Source organism: Homo sapiens, chromosome 17 (assembly GCF_000001405.40).
Source record: "Homo sapiens chromosome 17, GRCh38.p14 Primary Assembly".
Classification (NCBI taxonomy): Eukaryota; Metazoa; Chordata; class Mammalia; order Primates; family Hominidae; genus Homo; species Homo sapiens.
The window spans coordinates 46,183,379-46,198,851 of NC_000017.11; the positions used below are offsets into that span (position 1 = coordinate 46,183,379).

Sequence of the window (15,473 nt, forward strand, 5' to 3'; positions counted from 1 at the left end):
TTGAGACTAGCCTAGACAACACACTGAGACCCAGTCTCTAAAAAAATAATAATTAGCTGGGCATAGTGGGAGGGTCACTTGAGCCTGGCGGGTGGAGGTCGCAGTGAGCTGTTATCACGCCACTGCACTCCAGCCTGGGTTACAGAGCAAGATTCTGTCTCAAAAGAAGGAAAAGAGGAGAGGGGAGGAGAGAGGAGAGAGGAGAGAGGAGACAGGGGAGAGGGGAGAGGAGGTGAGAGAAGAAAAGGAGGGAAAGAAGGAAGGAGGGAGGGAAGGAAGGGAAGGAGTAGGGCCGGGAGAGGTGGCTCACGCCTGTAATTCCAGCACTTTGGGAGGCCAAGGCAGGAAGATCACTTGAGGTCAGGAGTTTGAGACCAGCCTGGCCAACACAGCGAAACCCCGTCTTTGCCTGTAATCCCAGCTATTCAGAAGGCTGAGGTACAAGAATCACCTGAATCTGGGAGGCAGCGGCTGCAGTGAGCTGAGATGGCACCACTGCACTCCAGCGTAGGCGACAGAATGAGACTGTCTCCAAAAAAACAAAAAGAAAGAAATGAGTAGAATTCAGCATTGCCTATACAACTACTTCAAGCATCCCATATTCAAAACCCATTCCCTGCCCCAACACCAAATCCAAAACTTCCTCCTGCTCCTCAACATTGTCTATTTGAGTTAATCATGACCTCAAATCACCAACTTACTTTTTACCATAAATATTTAATTTAAACATCTACTAAATGCCAGATACAAGATAGTAAAATATAAATTAGGTGTGAAGGTAGCCTAGCTTGATAAAGTACTGTATTTCACCTGAAGGGGTCAAGGAAGGCTTCTAGAAAAGATGACATACTGACTGAATTTTGAAAGGTGAGGTGGTGCACAGAGGGTGAGGGTTGGCAACACACAGAATGACAGGCACATTCATTCCATCCTTGGTGCCAATGCCCTAGTGCAGAACCTCATTATGTACTATAGTAATTCAGGCAGTAATAATCTCCCAACTATTCTTCCTTCTTCCTGTCTCAGCAAGCCTCTAATCTAGCGTCCACTACCAAAATGATTATTAGAAAGGGAAGAAAAAAGGAAAGGAGGGGGTAAACCTAAATCTAACCATTTAAAATCTTTCACTGACTCTAGAGTAAGGATGAGTCCAAATTCCCCACACACCATTATCTGTCCCCTTTTTACATTAGACCTCATCTCCAGCCTGTCCTCACTGCAGCCACCTGAAACATATGTTTCCTGGCTCTTCTATGCCCCTGCACCTTTACTCATGCTACTCTTTCACGGTTCAGCTCAAGGTTACATGCTCTTTCAAGTATTCCCCATTACTCCCAGGTTGAGGTGGGGTCCCTCCCTCTAGGCTCTTACCTGCACCCCCATGACACCCTGGCTATTGCTCATGGTACAATATAAACTCACAATTTTGTCTTGTCTCTTTCTTCCCCAGAGTATGTACTTTTTTTTTTTTTTTTTTTTGAAACAGAGCCTCTCATTGTCACCCGGGCTGGAGTGCAGCGGCACAATATTGGCTCACTGCAACCTCCACCTCCTGAGTTCAAGCGTTTCTCCTGCCTCAGCCTCCTGAGTAGCTGGGATTACAGGCACCCGCCACCACATCTAGCTAATTTTTTGTCTTTTTTAGTAGAGACAGGGTTCCACCATGTTGGCCTGGCCTGACCTCGTGATTCGCCAGCCTCGGCCTCCCAAAGTGCTGAGATTACAGGCATGAGCCGCCACGCCTGGCCAACTATGTACTTCTTAAAAAAGGAGGGTTATAGCTTGTTTTATCTCTGTCCCCTACAAGCAGCACAATGCCTGGCAGACAGCAGACCAACACACGTTAAGCAACCTGAGCATTCTATGCTAAACCCATCAGATGAAGATCCATTAGGACGTTAATGGGGATGTCTGAAGTGATCAACCACCTAACAAGAAGAGGCATCAACTGAACCTAGGATAGGCTTCACCCACTACAAGTTCCAGTTATTTACTTGACCAAGCACCTGTACCCAGACTAGGAAACTTTTTAACTACACTTTTTAAGCTATTATTAAATGTGGTTACACAGCATTATAAAGGTAATAGCCATCAAAATCACAAATGTAATTGCTCAAACTTTTACCCAGCAACTGCACTTCTAGAAATCTATTCAACAGAAATATTCTCATAGGTACTCAAAGATGTATACACAATGCTTTCACTGAAGAACTGGAATACAAAAAAAAAACCCTAATTAAAAAGATCAAGCCATATAACAAGTATGATCCCATTAAACATATATATATACACATATATATACACACACATATATACACACACACACACACACACACACACACACACACACACACACGGATAGGCTAGGCCCCATGGCTCATGCCTGTAATACCAGCTACTCTAGAAGTCAAGGTGGGAGGACTGCTTGAGCCCAGGAATTCAAGACCAGCCTAGACAACATAGCAAGATACCATCTCAAGAAAACTTTTTTTTCTGAAGGATGTCTATATATCAAACTATTAATGGTGTTAATCCTACTTCTATGCTAGCACTGAATTCAAATTTCCTACCACTCTTTAGCTGACAAAAGACAGAGGAAAAAAAAATCATACTTTTTATCATATCTCTTTCCAACAAGCCCTAATGGTTGGTGTAAGTGCTCCTGAACAATCCTAAAATCAGCGACTTCTGGAAGATTTTAAGAATTCTAAAGGAGGCCGGGCGCGGTGGCTCATGCCTGTAATACCAGCACTTTGGGAGGCCGAGACGGGTGGATCACAAGGTCAGGAGATCGAGACCATCCTGGCTAACACAGTGAAACCCCGTCTCTACTAAAATGCAAAAAAAAAAAAAAATTAGCTGAGCATGATGGCGGGCACCTGTAGTTCCAGCTACTCGGGAGGCTGAGGCAGGAGAATGGCATGAACCCAGGAGGCAGAGCTTGCAGTGAGCTGAGATCCCGCCACTGCACCTCCAGCCTGGGGCACAGAGCGAGACTGTGTCTCAAAAAAAAAAAAAAAGAATTCTAAAGGAAACAGGTTATTCTGGGAGGGTCCATGGCCAAATTCCTGAGTTCCCACTGAAACCTACCTTATACCTTTAGAGAAAAGTCAATTAATGACTTTTAAAAGTACATTTTTCCAATGCCAATAAAATGTTAAGTCAATACTAATATCCATTTTTCATTCTCTTGGGAGGCAAGGGGTAAGGAGTAAATCACTAAGTGCAAAAAAATACAGTCCAATTTTTTGGAGACATGCTTAAGGTCTTCAAAGAGCTTCAGTTCTCCATGGTAACATATGGAGAGTTTAATGAAACTTTCCTGACAGTTCAACTTATCAGACTGGTATTTCTTTTTTCTTTTTTTTGAGACGAAGTCTCTCTCTGTCGCCCAGGCTGGAGTGCAGTGGTGCGATCTCGGCTCACTACAACCTCCGCCTCCAGGTTCAAGCAATTCTCCTGCCTCAGCCTCTTGAGTAGCTGGGACTACAGGCATGCGCCACCATGTCCAGCTAATTTTTGCTGTTTTTTTTTTTAGTAGAGACAGGGTTTCACCATGTTAAGCCAGGCTGGTCTCAAACTCCTGACCTCAGGTGATCCGCCTCGGCCTCCCAAGGTGCTGGGATTACAGGCATGAGCCACCACACCCAGCCCAGGCTGGTATTTCTATGAAGTGTCTCTCCTATACTAGAAACCAGAAACTAGCTACAGTACTTAGCTTTGAGCCTCTTTCCCTTCACACCCTCTGGTGGAGGTGCTAACAAACAGTCACAAAGGCCAAATAACAAGCAGCAAGAGGAAAGTCTAGATATGAGTTCTTAGCAATTTTTGGTTTAACATCCTAACAACAAAATTGTTATTCCTCTTTTTTATTCCCTAATACTTACCTTCCAACTGAATTTAACCAAGTCTAACCTTAAGCTCTCCCCTTTTTAAAAAGGAATTAAAAGGTGAGGGACTCCATTAAGTTTGATGTCACTCAAGCAACTTTTTCCAAATAAGAGCAGAATCTGCTGTAATTAAAATTCAGAGTAAGATCTCATTTTGGATTCCTGGTTCAGGTTACAAGAACCAGAGTTTTTAAAATAACATTTAGATAAAACTGCACTCAATCTACCTCCACTTTGCATTTCCTGACCCTCAAAATCTTGGAAAGAAACTTTAATTCTAAAAAAATTACAGCCAGGAAAAAAAAGGGTAAGTTCACAGTCAGCAACAATAAAATACACAGCTAAATAATTTCCTGGTAGAGGGCTTTCAAATGTTAACACTGTGGAAGCAGCTTAAAATCTTGGAAAAGCAAGGCTTGCAGAAAGTAACATTTATTAAACAACTATTTTGCCGCATTGTGCTACTAAATGGGGAAGGTCTACTCTATTTAAAAGGTCTCTTCCACCTTAAAGGGACTCTTTGCATAAAGGTTTAAAATCTTCATATAAAATGTTTGATTTTTTTCTTTCAGACTGCCCAAACTCATTTGTTTTTGATTCATAAACATGAGCTGTGTTTTCTACTTTGGTCAAGTCAGTTTCCGCACTCTATTTTAGCTTTACCTTTATTCTACCAAAGACAAGAAAATGCTTAATAAAAAAAAATATATATTGCAGCTCTTTTTGGAGTCCAAGTATTTTGGTAAATCACACCTTTTGGCTTATTTTCTCCTATGTATTTTGTTCTACATCCTAAAAGGCACATGGCTTAAAAAAGAAACAAATAATAATAGTTACCCCCTGCCATACTAGTCATCTCCTATGACCCACAATCCTCCCCTCAATCTGCAAGTGACACCCAAGGATATCACTTACCTCCTATATCTTCTGATAGCCTTCAAACGCTGGTGAACTCTAGTACAGTGGATATTTGTCTTTTCTAATTCATACTGTCTTCTACAGCCATAGTGTGGTTCAACTGAGTTTTGATCTCACATTTCAGGGAATGGGAAGTACTGATGAGGGAAACTTATCTTGTCATATAAACTATTGTTCTGCACAACTTTTAGTATGCCCAGAGGTATATACGCAACTTATCAGCATAGAAACTGTAATTTAAACATACATCTTCAGAAGCAACATGAGAACTAAAAAAGTCTTAAAACAGACTTCCAAGAAACAGTTATGAAGTCCAATTTTAGGAAAAAGACATGATCCAAGTGTTCTTTGCACTGACACAGTAGGCAAGCCAGGTGTCTGGGGCCATTTTACTTAAGAACCTGCCCTGTACTCCTTTCTTAAGGTAAGTAAGTAAAGAGGCACTAAGGTAAAATACGCTTCCCAAGACATAGACTAATCAAATCACTCAAGGCAGGAACATTTAAAATGAAGAAAGAGTACAACGAAAGCTGCTTTAAAACTCTAAATAAGACAAGCAAGGGGCCAGGCCCGGTGGCTCACGCTTATAATCCTAGCACTTTGGGAGGCTGAGGTGGGTGGATCACCTGAGGTCCGGAGTTCAACACCAGCCTGGCCAACATGGCAAAACCCCATCTATACTAAAAATAGAAAAAAATTAGCCAGGCGTGGTGGTGGGCACCTGTAATGCCAGCTACGCAGGAGGCTGAGGTAGGAGAATCGCTAGAACCCTAGGGGTGGAGGTTGCAGTGAGCCAAGATCGCGCCACTGCACTCCAGCCTGGGCAACAGAGCAAAGATTGTCTCAAAAAAAAAAAAAAAAAAAAAAAAAAAAAAAAAAAGACAAGCAAGGTTATATGCTCCCGTTGCTCAACCTACTCAGGAGGCTAAGGCAGGAAGATCACTTGAGCCCCGGAGTTCAGGCACTCTAAACTGTAGCGCACAATGATTACATCTGTGCACGCCAACCTGGGAATCACAGCGAGACCCCGAGACCTCGTCTCTAAAATGAAAAAGAAACAAAATCTCTAAACCACTCAATAAGATTTACTCTGGGGCAATCAACAGACAACCACTTATTCAGTTTACCCTAGTCCCTCCCCTCTAAACTCAAGGAATGGAACGGAGAGGTCCTTTGTTGGGGGGTGGAGAGGGACAATAAAACTATATACATCTATCTAGCAAGAAAGTCGCTTATTTCTGTGTCTTAATGGACTCACCAAGAAGAAAAAAATAGCCCCTACCCATCTCCCCACAAGCTGAAAAAACATAAAAGGAATACGCATTACTCTTTAAACATGGCGTTTACTATGTTTAGAAAATCCAGTGTGGATTAGTTTGGTGTTTTATAGCACATTTTAAAAATTGCTTGTCTAGGCTAAGCGTAGTGGTTCATGCCTGTAATTCCGGCACTTCTGGGAGGCCGAGGCAGGTGGATCACTTGAGGTCAGGAGTTCGAGACCAGCCTGGCCAACATGGTGAAACCCCCGTCTCTACTAAAAATACAAAACTTAGCTGGGCATGGTGGCACACGCCTGTAGTCCCAATGGCACATGCCTGTAGTCCCTGCTACCCAGGCGGCTGAGGCACGAGAATCGCTTGAACCTGGGAGGCGGAGACTGCAATGAGCTGAGATAGCACCACTGCACTCCAGCATGGGCGACAGAACGAGACCCTGCCTCAAAAAAAAAAAAAAAAAAAATTGCTTGCCTGATATAACAAGGTAACTAAGCTTTACTCGCAAAGGGGCCTAATCAGAACCTCTCAATACTAAAATACCTTCTCAAACAACCACAACACCCCTATGTTTACAGAGTACACAAATCAGGTCATAACGAACAGAACAAACCTAAAACTTCTTATTCACTTTAAAATGCAATTAAAACCTGTGGTCAACTCAATCCTCTACAGAAGACGCAGAGACACTGGTTACAATGTAGCATTACTAGAGATGGAAGAGTAGCCTTAGTGACAGTGAAGAAAAAAGTTTAGTATAGTTACTTCACTTTCTTCTCACCTTGATATGAGTTCACAAGTGAACTAAGGCCTACTCATTTTCTAACTTCCAGAATTTTCCTCAACAGGAAACACTCACGTAACAAAGAGTGCTCTGCAGGTTTAACCAGAGAAATAACATGTGTAGGCAGGAAGAAAGAAAATCAGACAAAAATTTAACATCTCACGTTGGTAAAGCACCAAAGTCAAATACGAATGTTCTGAACGTGGCTTTCAGAAAAGATGCAAGAAAACTTCTAAAATACTTCACTTCAGTGGACTCATATAGATGGAAAGACCGAAAATCCCACCCTACCATAAAGGCTCTAATAATTCTTAACTGATCATTCTTTTAACTGGTCACAATCACAGACACTGGTATATACTCAAATGAGGTGGCCATCAGTGACAACCATCTTCACCATAATATAGACATTAAGAACCTTTGTAACATTTAATGTTTCCCTCCAAGTAGTTCAAAAAATAAAAAGTCAATCACCTCAAATTATGAGGTACTAACAAATACACCAAATATGCTAAAGGTCGAAGGAACGGCACACTTTGTTGCATAAACCTAGTGGAAATCCAATTCAGAATTTCATGACTGAAGGTAGTTATTCCACATTTATAATACATTTTTTAAATTCCCAAGGGATGAGCATTTTTACCTTGCCTTATTTTTAGAACTACACATCACACTGCACATATCACATGACATGATGTAACTGTTAGCAAAGAAAATGGTCCAAACCATTGACAATGTACATGGTAAATCAGGATCAATGCATACTCAAGAACCACATTTCGTATTTACTTTAAAAAAAAAGTTTCTTAATTCAAAATGTTTTTTCAAATTGAAAAAATGTCTAGTAACCTATGTAGAAAAAACCAGAAATGTACTTCGTATTTTATAAAATAGGAGTTTACCCAATTATGGGAAAAACTGATATAAAGAAACAGATAAAGGAATAACATACTTCTAAAACTACAGGATTAAAAGTAAAAATTTTCTAGATCAACACCGAAATGCTAATAAATACACTTAGCATTAGGCACAAAACAATTACTACTCAAAAGTATTCACTGTTGATAGGTTAAAAAAATAGTTTTAACTGACAACGCCTGTAGACAATTGAAATTTTCTAAATTGGTCAGACAGCATGCTAGAAAAGGAACCAAGTAGAGCCTATAGGAAAGGGGAAAGGGAAAACACACCCACTTAAGCCTTTGTAAATAGTGGTCCTTTAACTGACCCAAAAAGCAGAGAAAACAGAAATTACAGACCATCCTGACAAATGGAAAACATATTCTAACGTACTAGTTTCCATACTTGAAAGGACTTTCAAAATGAAGTTCAGTAGCAATCTATAACTATATCATGATTATGCAAGGCAAAGATTATGTAATTTTATCGTTTATTTTAAAATGTTCTCCGACTCTAAAACTAAAACAAGTAAAACGTTTTGATCTCTCCAAAGCGAAAAGGAAAGGTTCCTCTGAGCTGCAATTTAAAAATATAAACACACACCCCAAAACAAACAAAAAAACACAATGATTGCTAGCCACGTGACAAAGGAGATGGCAACACCAGGATTGTGAATGGAGGGGAGGGAGGCGAGGCTGGAGGAAGAGAGATTTCTCGGAACTTTGGGGACCGCGGCAGTCGGTCTGCCGACCCTAGGAGCACTAAACTCCAGCCCCTACGAGTTGTGCTTCTAACACCCTCAAGTACAGTTTTATTAATAAGTCACAGAAAATGCTCCAGTGACCTCCAGGATAAAGGGGGGTGGGGGGGACCGAGGAAAAGGAAAGAGAGCAATTTAAAGTGGCGCCATCATGTCACCCCTTCTCCCCTAAAGCAATCAGTAAGCAATAGTTAAGTAGCACGTTTCTCTATAAATCCACATTGGGATTCCAACATTGGAAAACGAGGATTTTTAAGTAAGACACGGGAGTAGCGCTGTTTATCGTATGGAAAACAAACTATTTGCTAAGAATCAAAAGACCGTCAGCCGGAAAACAGGCCCCCAAAAAGGCAGTTAAGATTCCAACTCACTTAAAAGCAAATAAATCCCTCTTCCTCTTTAGTTTAAAAAAAAAAAAAGTCCGCCTGAGGGAGACTACATCTGAAAACGTAAGTGACCTGAATTTACAGGCAACAAAAATAATAAATGAAACAATCAGAGTTGTGATACAAACCGTGCAACGCGCCAAGATGTGTGTTTCGAGCAGAGAAAGGCCTTTTGCAGTCAAGAGAAGTTCAAGGCGAGAGCCAGAGTTTGTTTGGGGGGTTCTTTTACGGGAATAAATCATGTTCTTCAGGCCGCCTTTTTAAATAGAACGCCAAAGGAAAAGCTGGCGAACGAGGCGGCAGCTCCTGGGGAAGGGCCCCCGCACACCCCCGCCCTTGGGGCGACTCCCAGCCCGGACCCGCAGCAGGGAAGCCCGGAGAGGCCATTTAAAGTTCCGGGGGATTTTTCTACCCTGCCCTGCCTTTCTAGTTACAACTAACAAAGAGAGAGAGAAATGGGAGCCACAGGGAGAGCGAGGAGAAGGAGAAAGGGCAGCAGGAGGAGGAGGAGAGGAGCAGCAGCAGCACCTACCACGTGATGGAGGAGCGTAGCCCGGGCGGATTCAGCCCCACAAAATGGGCGCAGTTTGCAAACAGCCCCCCGGCCTGGGCGCCGAGGGCCAGCGGCGGGCGGGGGCGCGCGACGGCGGCTCCGGCCCGGGCCCGCCGCTCTCCTCCCCCCGACGCCCGGAGCCGCCCTGACTTTCCGGGCGGGGGGGCGAGGCAGAGGGGGAGGGGAAGGCGGCGGCGGGGAGCGGCTGCTTTTTCTTCTCTTTCGGGCCCTTTCCCGGCCTTGCTCCGCACCGACGGGGCCCGAGCACGGCTGGAGACCGCAGCCCGGCCGGGAGGGCGGGCGGGCGGGGGCAGAGAGTGAAACCGCCCCCCCGCCCCGCACAAACAAGCACCGCCGTCTGCAGCCCGAACCCGCACCCAGGCCGCCACCCCCGGCCGCCTCTTTCCAGCCGGGGAGCGCGCTTCAGCCGCCCCCCGCGCCGCCGCGGCGAGACGAGTCGGCTTCGCTACGGTGCTCGGTTCTCCCGCCGGCTCGGCGAGCGGTGGCGGCGGTGGCGGCGGCACTGGGAAAATGGCGGCCGAGCTCCTTTTCCCTCCCCCCCTTTAATCTGAAGCGGAGGGAGAATGGAGCGAGCGAGCAAGCGGGCGAGCGCCGGGGACACGGGGAGGAGGGACAGCAGCGCCTCCGCCGGCTGCGGCTGCGGCGGCGAAGGGCCGCTCCACCCCGGCGCGCCGCCAGGGGGCGCCCGCCGCGCCGCCCCCGCGGGCCGCCAGGAGGCGCGGCCGCCGCCGCCTCAGTCATGGCTCCTCGCCGTGGCCGATGTTTTTGTACCTCCATCTGCGGAGGCCGCGGCGCCCGGCCCCAGCTGCCCCGGACGTGCGGCGACGGCACGCAGCACTGCGGCAGGGGGAAGCCAGCCCTCGCTGCGGCCGAGGTGAGTCTAACCTGAGGCACTGACGCCGTCACATGCCCTCCGTGCTGGGGCCGGCGGTGCGGCTCGCCAGTTGAGGGGCAGGGCGGGCCGGCGCCGCGGAGCGAGAGGACGTGAGCGAGGAACTGTTTGCACTGTGTAGTAAAGAGGGTAAGGCCGTCGGCACCACACTATTCCAAGGCTAACCCTGCAGAAAGCTCCCTGACCAGTGAAGCGGCTTCCGCCGCCCGCCCTTTGTCCCTAGCAGCCAGCCTCCGTATACTGCAGCACGGCTGGGCACTAGCCCCAGCACCGCGCTCCGCAGCCACCAGAGTTGGGCGGGGTGGGGAGGGTGCACGTAGTCACTGCGCAGGCCCCAGCCAGGGCCCGCGCCGGGCCAGCCCGGGAAGGGACAGCCGGGAGCCAGAGGGGAAGTGATGGCCCCGCCGGCGCCGGGCCCGCTGGGAACTGTAGTTTTCGTGAAGAAACACGCGTCTTGTTTTGGGTGTCATGGCTTGGCAGATCCGCCAAAACAGGCAAATGGCATTACACAATGAGTATTTATGCTTCCTGCCGCCACCAAAAGGAAGTTCACTGCCATGCTAAAAGTTTAACAAAGAACTCCATAAAGAAACACAAGTCTCACAACAAAAAGCCAACTTCCCACCTCGTTACCAGAGTTGGTTTAAAGTGGTGGCACCTTATCATTTCTCATGACCAGTTTATCAGTACAGAACTTTATATTGTCCCCAAAATAGGACCTTTAAAATAATGGAACCTTTCCTAGACTTAAAGAATTCATAAACATAATGTAATACAAAGTGTCACACAAAGTGTAATTCTACCACCCTTTAAAGTTGCCAAAAGATGAGTGGAGTATCTTGAGATTTAAAAGACTAATCTAGGATTCATCAAAACTGGCTTAAATGACTGAAGAAAAAATCGTTCAAATCATTAAATCATCAAATTCGGCAGATAAGAAGGGTATGTATGCTCTACTACCAAAAAGGAAGACGCAAAATGCTTCACACTTTTTTGTGGCTTACCAGAACCAATATCCGGCATTATACGTCACTTCTGCTTATCAAAAAACACCCTCACAGTCGTTACAGAACGGTTTTAGTCTTCCCACAAAGTTACACTAACTCACCTGCCCCTGCAACATCTGCACCTAGGTTTCTGCGAATTTCCATTTGTACTCCTAAAATCACACTCTCAAGCATAGTCATAGTTCTCAAATACCAAAGGCAGGCAGTTTGGAGTCATAGGGTCAAATTACACAAAGAATAAACTAATATTTGTATACACATCCAAAAGAGGTCTTTAGTCTTGGATTTTTAATTTACAACCCTGGGGAAAAACTTTGACTTTTTTATTGTACACACATACACACATAAATAGTAATTCCACAAAATACAGTAGAAGGGTATTGGACCAACAGATGGCGAACTAGAGCCCCAATCTGAGGCTCCTGAAATCTAAATTAGCAGAATGAAAAATACCAAATAAGGCAAAGCCCTTTGCAGCGTATACTTAAATATTAAATTCAGACACACCATAACAAAATAATCTTACTGCTGCTCCAAATTTTTAAGACTGAACTGTCAGATTTAATTAGGCAACCAAATAAGCAAGATTATATGAAATATATTTTTCTAATGGATTAGGAGAAAACTGGAAAATGCTCATTTTTAAAACCATGTATTTGGGGGAACTATAAATTCCAGTTTCCCCTTTCTCTCATTGCTTAGTGCAAGAGTCAAGAGTTCACAGGGTTTATGGCACTTAAATCAGTCAACCTGTTGTATATTCTTATCTAAAATCAGACATCTTTCTTATTAGGCATCCACTTGTACTTTTATTTTTTTGACAGGGTCCTGCTCGGTTGCCCAGGCTAGAGTGCAGTGGTGCAATCAAACTCACTGCAGCCTCCCAGGCTCAGGCGATCCTACCTCAGCCTCTTGAGTAGCTGGCACTACAGGCATATGCCACCATGCCCAGCTGTTATTTTTTTCACTCCTTTTTGTTTTGGTAGATACAGAGTCTCCCTATGTTGCCCAGGCTGGTCTCGAACTCCTGGACTCGAGTGCTGGCATTACAGGCATGAGCCACCACACAAAAATCTTATGAAGAGAAACAAATTTTCTTAAATTTCCCCCCAAAAAATAGTGGATGTCCAAAAGGCTGATTGAAAACACCTACATACAAAATAAAACAAACAAACAAAAAAAGATTTAAAGAAAAAGGCCTGGTGCAGCAGCTCACTCCTGTAATCCCAGCACTTTGGGAGGGTGAGGTGGGAGGATCACTTGAGCTCCGGAGTTAGAGACCAGCCTGGGCAACAGAGTGAGACCCTATCTCTACAAACAAAATTTTAAATTAGCCAAGTGTGGTAGCATGTGCTTACAGTCCCAGCTACTCCAGAAGCTGAGGGGATTGCTTGAGCCTGGGAGGTCAAGGCTGCAGTGAGTCATGATCATGCCATTGTAGTCCAACCTGGGCAACAGAGCGAGACCATCTCAAAATGAAAAGTGATAAAAAAATAAAAACACCAACATATTTCAAATCACTCTTGGAATAGTCATGTTGACTCTCCAATATCCACTCTATTCTGATTAGTTTTAACCCATTCTCTTTGCCAATGATTGGTTAGGAATGGCCATGAGATGTGAGTAGAAGCCCCCTGGACAGCCTCCAAAAGAGAACTGTGAGAAAAGGTTCTTCAATCCTAAAAATGATGGAGGAAAAAACAGTCCCTCTTCCTCAGACAGTGACACCTCAAACTGCTACAGTCACCTTTGCAGCAAGCCTGAAGATGCCACCAACATCAAAGGGAATAGAGAGTTGGTCCTTGGTGATAGCATTAAGCCACTGTATCAACCAATCCTGACAATTTGTATGACTTCTGGATTTCCAGCCACATTACAACAATGTAACAATAAACATTTATTAATTGCTTAAGCCAATTTGAGTTAGGTTCCTTATATAATAAATGAAGTCAAAAAACAATGATTGAGTTCTAATGTTTTTTAGTATTTGTATCTTACTTTATGATTACAGTATTTTATATAACTAATCTTATTATTTCTTCCTCAGAAAAGACATTCCATGGCCAGGCATGGTGGCTCACACCTATAATCCCAGCACTTTGAGAGGCCAATGTGAGAGTATTGCTTGAGCCCAGGAGTTTGAGAACAGCCCAGGGAAAACAGCAAAACTTCATCTCTTCAAAAAATAAATAATAAAAAAATTTAGCCGGGGGTGGTGGCATACACCTGTAGTCCAAGCTACTCAGAGGCTCAGGCAGGAGGATCACTTGAGCCCAGGAGGTCAAGGCTGCAGTGAACCATGATCACGCCACTGCAAACCAGCCTGGGCAACAGAGCAACACCCCGTCTCCAAAAAAAGAAAAAGAAAGGAAGGGAGGAAGGAAAGAAAGAAAAAAGGAAAAGGTGTTCCCTCTTACACACAGCTCTGTATCCATCCATCTTTGTCTGTGTTCTCTCTACCTAGAAAAAGAGGACCATCCCTCATTACCACCATTCCTTGTTAATTCCTCTCTCCAATCCACCTACAACTCATGTTATCCTCTTATATTCCACCACACCACTGTTATCGTCTACTCACTTCACTTGACAATAATGTAGGCTGGGCGTGGTGGCTCATGCCTGTAATCCCAGCACTCTGGAAGGCCAAGGCAGGCAGATCACCTGAGGCCAGGAATTCGAGACCAGCCTGGCCAACATGGTGAAACCCCGCCTCTACTAAAAATACAAAAAGTAGCCAAGCATGGTGGTGCACGCCTGTAGTTCCAGCTACTCGGGAGGCTGAGGCATGAGAATCACTTGAGCCCGGAAGGCAGAGGTTGCAGTGAGCCAAGATCACACCACTGCACTCCAGCCTACGCGACAGAAGGAGACTGTGTCTCAAAAAAAGAACCAATAATGTACAGAGTTGGCACTACATTACCCTTGGTTAAATGCTGTCTGTAATTCCTCTGAGTTTGTTTTCATATACCAGTCTTGCCACCTCAAGCCAGCCTGAAAGCCCTTGCAGGCAGGAACTGTGGTTGTTCTAATTTAAGATCTGTAACTCATCTATAGATAATAAACGTATTCCAAAAAGGCACTCTCTACCTTCCCTGCCACAGACCTTCTAAACAAGCCAGAAATTCCTAAACAGAATAATCTCACAAATTCAGTACCTCGTATGTCCAAACTAATCTCAAAAGGACAATGAATAACTTTTTTTGCACTTAAGAAAAAGCAATTATTATATATTAACTCAGGACAAGTTCTAAAGCCTAGGCCATTTAGTTTCAAAAGCACAGGGGCCCATTTTTTTGGTTACTTACCTAGGACCTAGCCCAGGGCCTGGCACAAAAGAGACACATCATAAGAACTGACTGAATAAATGAAAAAGGTAGAGTGTAGTACTTAAGCACACAGGACCTAGGTAGCCCGATTCTAATCCTGCCTCCCTCACTTATTCTTTGTGTTACTTTGGGCAAAGTACGTATTCTGCTCTGTAAAATGGAGATAGTAATACCACCTACCTCTTAAGTTTAACTATTATTATTAGTGAATGAAGCTATTTTCCACAGTTCTAAACTTTAAAGGTTAAAATCTGAGTGAAGCAAAAATCAGCACCTCTTTCCTAATTCAAACTTCAAACACCTATCTACTTAGGACTTGGACCTACTTTAATTAAAAAAAAAAAAAAAAAAAAAAAAAAAGCCTGGATGTGGTGACTCACACCTGTAATTCTAGCACTTTGGGAGACCGAAGCAAGTGGATCACCTGAGGCCTGGAGTCTGAGACCAGCCTGGGCAACATGGTGAAACCCTGTCTCAACTAAAAATACAAAAATTAGCCTGGCATTGTGGCACATGCCTATAGTCCTAGCTACTTGGGAGGCTGAGGCAGGAGAATCGCTTGAACCCACAAGGTGGAGGATGCAGTGAGCCAAGATCGCACCACTGCACTCCAACCTGAGTGACAGAGCGGGACTCTGTTTCAAAAACAAAATCCCTGTCTAGACTCTAGCAAACAATGTTTTCATTCATGAACTTAGATAACACTATATATAAAAATACTTTTAGCTCCCTAAAAACATATTCTGAGAATGATTATTTACA

General features: G+C 44.3%; 1 protein-coding gene and 1 long non-coding RNA gene across 31 annotated transcripts in view; one reads left to right on the plus strand and one right to left on the minus strand.

Annotated features, from left to right (window-relative positions):
* Window positions 1–15,473, minus strand: part of KANSL1 (KAT8 regulatory NSL complex subunit 1) — a 195,452-nt gene that overhangs the window by 153,463 nt on the left and 26,516 nt on the right. For 6 of the 30 annotated variants that reach the window (NM_001405860.1, NM_001405880.1, NM_001405877.1 and 3 more), the window contains exon 1: window positions 9,445–10,051. The exons of 17 other annotated variants lie outside the window; for them this stretch is intronic. The gene's annotated coding sequence lies outside the window, so the exon portion shown is untranslated. Of the gene's footprint in view, window positions 1–9,040; window positions 9,405–9,444; window positions 10,052–10,371; window positions 10,673–15,473 lie in introns of those variants that run through there. 7 more of the 30 variants (NM_001405878.1, NM_001405858.1, NM_001405874.1 and 4 more) reach the window with 2 other exon arrangements.
* Window positions 10,195–13,345, plus strand: KANSL1-AS1 (KANSL1 antisense RNA 1). Its single transcript, NR_034172.1, has 2 exons — window positions 10,195–10,360; window positions 12,990–13,345. It is a non-coding gene; the product is annotated as a KANSL1 antisense RNA 1 (long non-coding RNA).